We start from the raw sequence: 12,947 nt of genomic DNA, 5'->3' as shown, positions 1-12,947 counted from the left end.
CGCCCGCGCCCGCTGAGCTGCCCGCGGGGACCGGCTGCGGCCCTACTGCGCAGGGTCGGCTCCAGGGGTGGGGGCGAGCGCTCTTTTTTGCAGGGTCTTCCTCTGAGCCCGCACTGGCCCGGCGGCCATCGAACCTCCGGAGAGCTCGAGGCTTGACTTCTTCATCTCCTCGCCGGGCCCCAGAGGCCCAAAGCCCAGGATTCTGGGCGCAGCCTCCCGCCGGGCTGCGCAGGGACGGTCGCCCAGGTCGTCAGGATCTCTGCCGTTTAACCCCGATGCAGTTCTCAAAAGCTGCCTGCAATTACTGTCAAGTCAGGTCACTTTAGTAGTATTTCTTGATCTGGGGCATCTATCTTCTACATTTGTTTATGTGGTACGACTTTGTCACTTTTATTTACCCAGAACATCTCTTCATTTGGGAGACTTGACAATGACTCTGGGTTATCGTTTATTCCATTTTGATTCAGGACCACTTCTTTGCTCCTAGTGAGTTTGATTCGATTCCCTAAATTACTGCTTCACCTTTCTCAGTTAATATTCATGAGCGAGCCAACCGCAGGATCTAAACAAGAGAAACGGAGGACTTCAATGCCATTTATTTTTGAAGGGGGAAGAGGGAGACACCGCTTTTTAAACTACCCAATAAACTTTTAAATAACAGGTGCTCTCGTGGTCACTTGCCTCAAAGAAGATATTTTAAAAAAATTATTGTGTTTAATTCCGTAAGAATAAAGTCAGCCTACAACCTATCTCTATCTGTATTCCTGACTAAAAAAATTTGAGGAGGAAACACTTTGCTGAGACTTAGTATTATGTAAATGCAGAGCCATAGAAACTGGTTTAAGCAGGGAGCCCTCTCTTCCAATAGTTTCTGAGGTGCAGTCTGCTTAAAAACAGACCCACCTCTTTAGGTCATTCTTATAGCTAGTTACTCTTAACTTTATTAAGAATCTTTAAGAATTCAAGGGAATAAGTGAGAGAGCCTCTGTTTTGAGATTGGGTGGTGGGGAGGTGGGAAAGGAGTTTTAGAGAGGAAGGGGAGCAAGGCCGTGGTGTAATAATCTCTTTGAGATTTACCAGAAGTCTTGGTCTCTTGATTGAGGATTCCTGCTTCAAACCAATTCTGTGTGTAGTTTAGTGCAGTTTTTCATTTGTGAATAGGAACTGTATCAAAACCCTAGTGTGACCATGACAATTGGGTAATCACACACAAGGCATCTTTGCTAATGGAGAGATTCTGTAAATATGTTTCTAGTGAATACACAGATAACAGTCACAGTGGAAGGGTCAGGTGCCACAAATCATAGATTACTCTGCCAAGGGTTGCCAGCCATCTGAGGCTTGGAAGGACATTAACTGCCTTTGCATTCTCAGAATACTCTCCTCAGTTCATGATTTCACTTACTTGACCCTACTTCTGTTATTAAAAAGCTGGCAGGCACAATTAAGGGCAAGCAGGTTGGCTACCTACCCCTCTGGCAGCTCTCCAATATTCCCATTTAGCTGCCAGGAGACATGGAGAGGAGTGAATCACTCATGAAATCCTGTGGGAGCATGTAAAGTGTATGAGGAAAACTTCAGTGGCAGTGGGCAGGTCCACCAGTCAGCCCCATCTCTAAGTCGGCTATCTCATATAATAAATCACTGGGGGAATTCATTCTGGGAAGGGCAAGGAGGGGAATGATAAGAGGTGACTTAGGTATAGGAGCTCTCACTCAGTTTCCTTGGAAAGTAAGTTTAAGCGCATTACTTGATAGTTCTAGTTTTGAAAACCGTCACAAATAGAAGTGGGATTCTCATTACTAATAGGGAACAAAAATCAGGAAGAGTTTCCCTTATCAGACAATAATAAGGGGAAAAAATCAAGAGCTTTCAATGAAATTTGGAGGACTATCACTTTTTTTCGACAGAGCAAACTTCTGGCTTTTAACAATTACTCCAATAGAGAAATTATTACTACATGGATAAGATTTAGGTACTCAATTTTCAGAGTAATGTGAAATTGAAATTAGATAAACATAGTTTTTTTCTTCTTCAAATTAAAACAAGCAGGTATCTTGCATACAGGGGCATTGTAAAAGCAAAACACATCTCTCTCAAATATTAGTGTTGTGTTCTTGAGGACGTAAAATCTGGGAATGTAACATAAAAGAATTGTAAGGCTGAGACAAGGCATCCTGGGTTCCCTTTGTTGGTAGATAGGCTCTTTTCTCATACTCTTACATTGGAAGTGGTTTGGGGATCTAAAATGAACTACCATCACTAAAGGCAAAGCCGTAACATTTATTATTAGATACCATGGAAAGTAGGCTGGTTTCATCAGTGAAAGGGACTGGCTTGTATGAGAGGCCTTGTGGCACTTTTTGAACAGAAAAGAAAGGCACAGTTTATCGAAGTATGAGTGGCCAGGAGGGCTAGCAAAATGTATTTTTAGAAGAATAATATATTTTCTAATATGCCAAGGGGTCTTTAGATGTGAGATATTAAAAAACTAATTTTCCCCAAATTATGTTATCACATTATCATATTCCTTGAAGAATAAAGATAGACATTAGTCATCTACATTACCAAGGGAGAAAAATATTTTAAAATCAGATGACAGATTTGTGCCTTGTAATTTAAACAATACTGAATGATGAACAATCTTCCAAGTTCATTTAAGCAGGAGTGAGAGGGAATGTCTATACAAGTGAATTTAAAAAGACCTTATTGTACAAATATGCCTAAACCCCCATTTTATTAACTTATAATACAAATCATTACTTGCTCTTGTTACTAAAAGTCATTTTAATGTAATGGATTCATTTCAGACCTACAAGAAAACCAAAGCCCTTGTCTTTTTATACATTTATGAAGAACTTCAAATGGCCCCACCTGAGTTGGAGACATAGATATACTTTTTCTTACTAAGTTATAAAGTTGAAACTTATCCTAATGAATAAGAATAAAGTTTTTTCTTTTAAGAGAGCAGAGAGCAAGTACACAGAAGGAAATTCCAAGACTATGTGATTTGATAGGTGGTCACATTTTACATTCTTAAATTTAGAGCTGTAAACAACCATATTCTTTCTCTCTTTATCTGCTGTAAATCTGCTGTTAGTACCTTGTTATAGAGCCTGGTACATAATATTTGCTCAGTAAATATTTTCTGAATCAATGAATTTAGAAAACATTTTTCAGTACTTCTCTTGTTGTAATCCTTTCCGATATGCAAAATATAAAAGTAAGGAAGTATTATTAGCATTTTTCTTCTTTTTATGTAAACAAAAATTATTAAAAGTCTAGGTCAGTTTGATTCAAAAATGACAGAAAAGAGGGACAATTCTTTGTTAGTTAGTAAAAGAAGTGTCTTTTATATTTCCCTGGCTACATAAATTAAAACTATGTGAGGTGATGCTGTACTGTTTAAAACAAACAAAATCCCAGATACAACACAAAATGAATTCTAACAATTAATAACTTAGAAAATCCTTAGAGTTCATCTCTTTCTACATTCCAGACTTAAACTTTCCTAACACACCCACCATTCAAGACTTTTAAGATTCTAAAGGGTAACCATCTTCTAAAATGATGAGGGGTTCACAAATGATCATTCTATAAGGAGTAGAGGTGGGAATTGACAATTTCTTTTTATCTACCAGAAAAGAATTTAAAAACCAGCGTTGATTGTTAATGATAATGCCACACAGGGCTGCTCTGTAGAGGTGATCTGATGACCAAGGGGAACCCATTACACAAGAGCAATGTCTACTATTACTGTCCTCCTAATTGCTGTCCCTTGGTGAACATTCCTCACATGTGAGTTGGGGCTATAGCCTTGGGGCACAATGGAGCCAATGGCATGGAGTCAGGCGGGGAGAATCATAAGATTGGAAGTGGCTTCTGGATTGAGATGCCCTGTGCCTTATAGTAACCCAAACAACTGAAGCATCTCTTCATTGACTTGGGGGCCTGGCTCAAGATTATCTACATGTTAGGGGAAGAATATGCTGGCAAAATCTTTTTAATTTTAAATGTGAATTATTTTACCAGTAAATATGAGGGTATCATTGCAAGTGGAAAGTGTGTTTTTGTATCAAGGGCATCCCTGGCTTCAGCTGAGCAGGCTCCTTTAGAAGACATTTGCATCATTGGCAGTGCCTGTTCAGCAAAATGCAGAAGACTGGACAGAGTCAAACAGCAATTGAACCTCAAATAAGCTAAATCTGAAATCTAAGTTCCACTAGTTTAAAACAAAAAATTCTCAGCCAGTCATGGTGGCACACACCTGTAGTCCCAGGCACTTGGGAGGCTGAGACGAGGCAGGAGGATTGTTTGAGCCTAGGAGTTCAAGTCTGCAGTGCACTGTGATCACACCTGTGAATCGCCAATGCACGGTAGCCTGGGACCCCGCCTCTAATAAAAAAAAAAAATTCTCTTTTAAAGCACTCACTTGGCATAAAAATTCTGATACCACTTCATGTTTATACCCAAATATGCATTTACAGTCTTAATGGGTTGCAGGTTATCCTGTAACTTGTGTTCCTAATAAGAAATGGAGCCGTAAAAGGCAATTCTCTTTACCAACATCTGCAACAGCAGTGGCCCACTGTTTACCTGAGAATTCTCCTCTTCATTCACATGAAGATACCAATTTATATTTCGCTACCAATTTGATGCCAAAGTCAAGTCAATTCACTATAAAGCAAGAGTGATTTAAAAATTGTACTTGTAGGCAACAGTTAATATAATAGAAACCTTAAAAAGAGGTTGGTAAAAATATTCTTTTGTCATGTGCACTCACTTTAGATATTATAAAAAAGAACTGAGGGATGTCACCCCAAGGCTTACAGATTTTGTAATAACAAAACAAAATTGGTGGTCTCTTTACATTGATTCATTTATTTAGTCAGTAAACATCCACTCAATGTTTACACCAGGCAAAGTACTAGGCATGGAGGGAAAGATATGTCTTTAACCTCAAAGATAATGTGTGTGGAGAGATAGGCATGTAAATAGACATTTACAGTTCAATGCAATGGGTGGAGCAACGTGAGGTCTGTGCAAGATGCCGTGGAATCCCAGAAGTATTTATATTTGGCAGGAGGAGAAAAGGTGGTGCTTGAGCTCACTCTTCAAGGAGGAGTAGGATTTTATCAGGCATTGCAGGTGGAGGGAACAGCATGCACAAAGGCCCAGGGGCAATGAGGAGGCATATCATGTTCAGGGAATCATTCCTAGCTTGCATTGCCAGAATATAAAATGTGAGGAGAGTGTTAGAAGTGAAACTGAAGGGGTGGTACAGGCTAAACATTTCAAAGACCCCTGAATGCCAGCCTAAGAAGTGTAGATTTTACCTTATGTAGCACATGGAAAGCCATTGAAAAAAACTCAAACATCATCAGATGTGCATTTTAGAAAGGCCAGGCAGTCAGCAGAGTGAAGAATGGAATGGAAATAGGGGCAAACTAGTGACAGTGAGACTATATGGTGATGGTTTTCACCTGCATGCTTGGTGTAAGTGTGCTAAAGAGAACCACCTTTCATTAAATAGATACAAATCCTCAAAGCCTGGCAAGAATGAAGGCATAAAGATATTCTCCAAAGAAACATCTTTTTAAAGAAAAAGACTTTACACTGTGTAAAGATGGCCAATTAATTTGGTAAGACCTGCACATACCTTTTACATACATACTTTGTTTTGCTTAACTATATGACTGACACCCACCTGAGGACATTTTTGTTACTGCGTTTAACAAAAGAAAGACTGTGTAGTATTGTAGAAAGGGTATTGCCAGCACTCAAGAGACTTGCCTGTAGTTTAACTTTACACCTTCGTCTTTGTAAGACCTTGGGAAAGTCACTTTACCTCTTTTAGCCTCCGTTTCCTCGGTTGTAAAATGAGGGGCACAATGTAAATTATTTGTAATGGCACTTTATTTATATCATTTTATATTGGCAGCTTTGTTTGCACTTATTAATCTCTCCTAATGTTTATTTCTTACCCCATCTTAATGATTTTTTTTTTTTTTTTTTTTTTTTTTTTTTTTTACAATTTTAAGAGGGACAAATATTTGGAAGATAACCTTTAGAGGTGTTACGTGGGGTAAAACTCTATGTTGACTCTACTCCACTTTATACAGTTAGCCTTTCTCCTGGAAAGAGTAAGGATGTTGGTAGCCATTTTGAAACGCTGGACTGCTCACGAGTCACATTTTATCCTTACACGAACAAAAAGAAGACTATTTAATCACTTTTAAGGTCTACTAGGCTAATGAATGATTTAGCTCTAATTTTTAGATTATAGATTTTCCTGTCCAAAATGATTCTATTTCTCGAGACAAATAACTGCATGTTCTCCAAAAGCTAGTGTGTGGATACAATTGTGACCATTAAAATCATAGAAAGGGTGCTGCTTCTAAAAATAGCCTCCTTCATTTAAATTCTGCATTTCTTTGGAAATTTCCTGTTATTTAATTTTTTTTCCACTTAAGGGCCTGTTTACATTAGTAATGTATCTTCTAGAGCCCTGGGAGTTTATAGGGTTTGTACCTAGAAAACATCCCAGCACTATTACTATGCTTCAGAGACATACAGGGGTCCCAGGGCAAATCAAAATGTTTTTAAATGTATGACATGTGTGAAGTTGATGAAAATTCATGACTTCTCTCTGTCAGAGCTGCTTGAGTTTAAATCATCAGAGAAAGGTGAGTGCAAAGAATTTTATTTGATACTTTTATTCTGGAATCCTTCTCATTCCTTGCTCATGGTCCCAGGTTTTAGCTCTGTTCTACTTAACAGTCTGATTACAAAAATAAAAAATTAGCGGTGTGTTCTAAATTGCTTTTCAGAATTTTCTGCTTAAACCACTGCTCAGATATATAACTTTTAAAGAGGAATTGAAATGTAGTTTGAGAATATAGTCACATACTACAGAACATGCAAAATACATGTGGAAGACCACATGATTGCTGGTAATTTAACTGGTTATACTTTATGATTTAGAAATATTTTCAAATTTTTCTTTTAAAATTGAAAAGAAAACATTGCAGGGAAATTCACAAAAATAAAAAATCCCCAAATACTGTGGTTACTGAGATCAGCTGTTTTTAAGTAAAAATCCATTCAAAGCAAAATAAAAGGCATTGTGTGGTGTATGCCGGCTAAAACTGAGAACACAAGAGCATTGCAGTTAATTAGAACAAATCAACAGGATGCTTTGCAACATTTCTCACATCAGTGCACCATCTGATCTTCATAATACACATTTCCCACAGTCTTGATGCAAAAAGGACTGGAAATAAATATTTGACTCATCAAAAATATATGATGCTTTTTAACAGTGCTTTCTAATAATTATTTTCAAGTTACTGTTATGAAAATAAGATCTTGAAAATCCCCAAAGGCTGTTCTACTTGCACTTTAAGGGGGACAATCTTAGTTACCTTTTTTTGTTTTGTTTTAATTTTATCTGTATTTGAACCTGAGAAGAATACTGATTTTTAAGAATAATATTAAGGGCATGAATTTGAATTATTACATGTTTTATATATGGCTGTCGTACTTGTGAAAGATAACTGAGCTTTTCCTGGGTAAACCATTATATTATGAATGATTAATTAGTACACTATAAATAACGAAGTACTACATTATAGCAGTTTTCATATTAACAGAACACTGAACTAAATTAACTGCATTAACACCTACGTCATAAATGTTTTAAACGAATATACAATATTTAACACTATTCTGTTTCTACAATTCATTCAATGCCTGGTTCAACCCAGAAAAGTTTTGCTTTAGTTTCATTTATTATACTCACTAATTGTTCTACTAGGAGAAAATATTATATTGCTTTTGTCATATTTTTGTTAAGTTTGTAATTTGTTCCTTATAGACATTTGTTTCCTTTTTTTTCTTCCCTGCATCTTACTTTTTTTTTTTCCTTTTTTTGACAGTCTTTGTTACCTTGTCTGTATATTAAAGGTAGAGCTCCCTCTGGGCCGCTGAAGTGCTTCAAAACAGATTCATAAGACAGTTTGTTAAAAATATGTTTAACTTGAATCAGAAATATATACAACTTGACAATAGTTTGTCATCAAGTTTTGCTTCCTCTTAAAAGCTAATTTATGGATGTCTAGCAGGTATCCTTTTTAGAGACAAAACTAGCTGTGAAACTGTTGCTATTAAAAAGAGAATTGTCCTCCAAATGAGTTGATGATCCATTCTCCTAAATTTATAAGGTACAACTCGCTGATGGAAGTAATTTACTCTTTCAACTCTGCAGTCATCTCTTGCCAAAAGAAAATGTTTGTTTATTTCGTTGTGGTCTGTATGTTTTCTCCCTTTACATCACACAAGATGTTTTTCTCCTCCCAACCCTCAAAAGCCCATTGCTAAATATTGTCTTTCTTGAATACTCGGTTTCTGTAGAAAAAAAATAGTTTCAAGAAACTGTCTTCACACTAGCAATAAATTTTCTTTGACCTTTTCTTTGAACAGATTTGATCTACTTCCATTGCAAGAGGTGTCTCTTAGCTAGGTTCTCTTTAGGAAAGTTACTCTTTCTACTAATTTACACAGACAGCTTTGATGACAAATACTTTATTTAGAGCACTCATCTTACAAACACAGAAAAAAGCCCATGTTAGGATGTAAATCTTTTTCTTACTAAATAGCCTATTAAAGGCAATAATATTTGTGTTTATATTTTAAACATTTGATATATTTGCCTGTTAGGATTGAAGCATTAGCTCCAAATGTTAACTGCTCCAAAGAAAAGCAGTTTCAACAAATAACCTGAAATTGGCTCTGTTACATCTAGTTTGATTTATAGGAATTTAAATAATAATGGCCTAAAAATGCATATTACAATAACTCTGCATATCTATAATATCTTAAGCAAACAATTTAGGTAGAAAAGTCATTTGATAAAGATAATTGGTTCAGGCAAAATAGAACTCACATTCTTCTGCCAGATAATAATTCAGTGGCTATTCTAACTTCAGTAGTGGTTTATTAGACACAATTCTCATTCTTTTTAAAGACTTAAGAAAAAAGACACATTCTTCATCTTTAAACAATTATTTTAAAATAAGTAAACAGCAGGAATGGGATAAAAATTCTCTATCGGATTTACTTGCTGTTATTCAATTTCTCAAAAATTTTCTTAGGGGACAGGAGTGTCATATGTTTAGTTTCAGGACAAAGGCACCTTTTAAAATGAAAAGCTTAAAGAAAATCTATAAAGAAGTTTGCTTAACAGAGAGTAGGCTAACTAAGCTTTTAGTTGTTAAAATTATCTAGATTACAAAACCAGGGGGAAAAAACTAACATTGAACGAACTTTAAAACTAAGATGAGGCTAATTTTTAATAAAGGACATCTTTTAAAAATAATAAAAGCAATTATGAACAACTTCTGGAATTCACTTTGGGTAACATGTTGAGCAGGCACATTGTTTTACTATTCTTCTGTGATTTTCTTAACTTCCAGATTAAGAAAAATTATGTAACTTCGGAGTGTATCCAGCTTAAGGAAACATTTTTAAGCAGGATGGTACGCAGTTAAAACAAGACAAGACAAAATCTTAGAGTCAAACAACATTAATTAACTCATTTGGCAATTATGTATTATTGTTGCTATTATTATTTTGTTTGATAAATGACCAAGCTATTAAATAATTCAAATAATTCAGATTTCTAGCTGTTATAAAATGTTCTTTTAATAATTTAGCAATTAATTATAAACCCCTTGCATCTGATTCATGAATATTCACTTTTATATCTTGAGACATGCATTTAAATTTTACAGTTTATTAATTGCTTTTAGCTGCATGTTGTATTAAGGTGAAAATAATCTATTGTAAGCTGGTTGAGTTCATTTAAGAGAGTGTTTACATTTAATGTTGCTTTTTAATAGACAGAAATAAAGTTGCTAAATTCAATACAAGGCAATTGTTAATTTGTTAAAGTTGCAAATATTTTGTTAAAATGTTCTGGTAATAAAAATTTCATAGATATTAATAAATCTTCACTTTATGACTTTCTGTCCTATACACTTTTTAATTGCTTTAAATATATAAATATATTATTTGTTTGTTAAAGGAATGAGCAAATTAGAATTCCAATTCACTCTAAGGAAAGAGAGTTTAAATTTTTCAACAGGATAATTAACTATTTGCTTGGCTTCAATTTATCTGTCTTGTACATACAGTGATTTGACAGAACTAACTAGTGAAAACTAACCAAAGCTAGAGATCAACGGAGAGAGTAGTCAAGAAGGAAAAAAGGAAGAGTTTCAGGAAATGATATTTTCCCATCAGTGGATAGGCATGCATACATTAAAGGCATAAAAGGCAGCGGGAGGAGAAACAAAAGCTGTAAGCTAAGGATCCTGCAAGTCTGAATTAACTAAATGGGGAAAAAAATGAAATCATTCTGCTTAAACCTGTTCACTAATAAAAGGAGAATCGCTTTTGTTAAATATGCTTGGTGTGATTATCAAGCAAATTTTTTTCTCCCAGACATCTATGAATAAAACATGCATTTGAGCACTAGGTAAACAAACAATAAATGGATGAGTTCAGTTACAACATAATAACATTTTATTTAGAAAACATATATAATCATATTTGTATTGGCAATCCAAATTTAATGACTTCTTTCAGTAAAATCAAAATGCCTCACAAATAACATTTAATGCATAAGGATTGCTTATTCTTTGTCCATTTTTTTCTGTTTTCTCAAAGAAACAGATTTTTAAGGTCTCCGCTGAACCATACATAAAGTAGGTGAAATGTGACTTTTCAGAAAAGACTTTCTTTTGGATCTTCTTAATTTTAGGTTACAGATGTTGTAAAAATAAATTTAAAAATACATTTTTGAGATGGGGTGAAAATGTTTTCAGTCTATGTAGCCTGGGCTGATTTGAACAAGACTCTGTGTGTAGCTGAACCACAGTCTTTGGCTTATTAGCCATTTCATTAACACGACATCATCTTCTGCAAAATATGAATGAGGAGAAACCATTTACAATAAGAAAAGCAAACAACAGAATGAATTTCCTCTGTTGGTGTTTTGTAAGACTGTTAAACAGAAAATGGAGGGAAGAACTCTCTTTAGACGATATCACTTAATTAAGTAAAGCATCCTAATCAGAGTCCCCTCCAATTGTAATGACTGTAGGGAGTCAAGTACATTTCTGTCTATATTAGAGTATCTAACTGCAATGATTTATTGATATTTATTTTAGAAGTGCAACACAAAAGCAATAAAACAGAGGAAGCAGGGAGAGAGGGAACAAGCCATTGCTTACTGCAGTTACAACCAGAACACAACAAAATTCCTGATTTTCATGTGGGAGGTTTTGCTTTCCAAAATCAGAGCCCACCTTTATAAAAGAATGTTCCTTTCTCTCATTTGGTTTTTCCAAATGTTCACTGTGGCGTTTCTTTGTCCATTAGATGAATCATTGATTCACTTTCTTCACTGCAAGAATCACTGCAAATGAGTGGATGAGCACCTGCTGTTTTCTGCAGTGACATTACTGGATTGCATTCTACACTGATTTTAGTCTTAAAATACAGCTTCTCTGTATGGGAGAGAGATTTGAGGAGGGAGAGTAAATATACTGTATAGGCAGACAGACATTGGCTGCCCTCCAAGATGCACACAGCATAAACCTGTTTATCTGCTACATTTCACAAATCTCAAAAACATGCGAATAATCAGGCAAGCAACTGGATAAGTGATTCACACTAGGGAACCTAACCAATATTCTGATGAGAGGATACTATGATGCTAAGATGTTGAGGAAAATAGCCTTATATTGTAGAAACTGCACATAGTAAAGTTGATTAGTGGTTCAAAGGAGAAAACAATCTGTACTAAAATGAAGTTGAGGCAGTATCCCACCCTGTGGTCTTTGGTTTGGTATATTTATGTGCAAGTTACCTGGATAATTGAGTTTAAAAATACACATTCATCCATACCATTCCAATAATTGGGGCCAGTATACATTGGCCTTCATGTTAGTTGTCACGATAATTTATTTCTGGAGACCAAGATCTAAATATTGAGGGCTAGTGCCTTAAAACCCCAAATTATACCAACACATCTATTTGAAATTAAATTACCAAACATGCTTAGAACCTACTCATTTTGAAGAAGCAACTTTTCTTGGAAGGCTACAATCATTTTTTATTATTGTAGAAGATGAATTGTCTCATAATAAGTGAACTAGGCATGTAAGCCTCTCCTTATTGCTACATCACTGCTTTCTCTTTCTCTATTTTTCTCTGTTGTTTCTTCCTCATTTACTGATCATTTAATCTCCCTTGCCTTATTCCCATGACTATTGTGCTTTAGCATTTGGCTGTGAAGTGGAAGCTCTTAAAGGTTTTGAGGCTAACCCCAAAAGCAAACATTGGTTCTGAAAATTTCATGAGGTTGTTTGTGAATTTTAGGCTTAAATCACTTCCATAAACTATATCTGGTTAATTACAGCAAGATGAACTATCAGCTTGCTTGATATGTCTGTCTATTGGCTTATATGGTAGACCTGTCCTCACAGGTCTATACCAGGAAAATATAGGTTTTTCTACATTTGCAAACCCAAAATACTATTCCAGAAAGAAGAGCAATAAAACAACAAGGCAATTGAATAAACATTGCACATCCTACAGCTTTTCTTTTTCCTGCACTGCAGAAAGGCAAATTGCTAAAACTTTTTGATACTGGAAAACTTTGTTAAATTATAGTAACAAAAGACATCATCATCTTAGCAACAGAAAGTCTTGGAGAAGGTAGGTGACCTGGAAATTGGTGTTCCAAACAATATTCTGCTACTTTTGAGCTGCTTCATTAAAGCTTTGCCTCAAGAGAATGTATGTTGAGTCTACTGCCAATTGCATTTGCCAAATGTTTTTTATTGTCTTAACATTTTCTCATCTTCTTGCTTTTCGTCTCA

General features: G+C 35.5%; 1 long non-coding RNA gene across 9 annotated transcripts in view; it reads left to right on the top strand.

Annotated features, from left to right (window-relative positions):
• SFTA3 (surfactant associated 3) overlaps positions 1-12,947 on the top strand; it is a 46,269-nt gene that overhangs the window by 15,317 nt on the left and 18,005 nt on the right. The gene's annotated exons all lie outside the window — the stretch shown is intronic.

Source organism: Homo sapiens, chromosome 14, assembly GCF_000001405.40.
Source record: "Homo sapiens chromosome 14, GRCh38.p14 Primary Assembly".
Classification (NCBI taxonomy): domain Eukaryota; kingdom Metazoa; phylum Chordata; class Mammalia; order Primates; family Hominidae; genus Homo; species Homo sapiens.
This window is presented reverse-complemented; position numbering and strand designations above follow the sequence as displayed.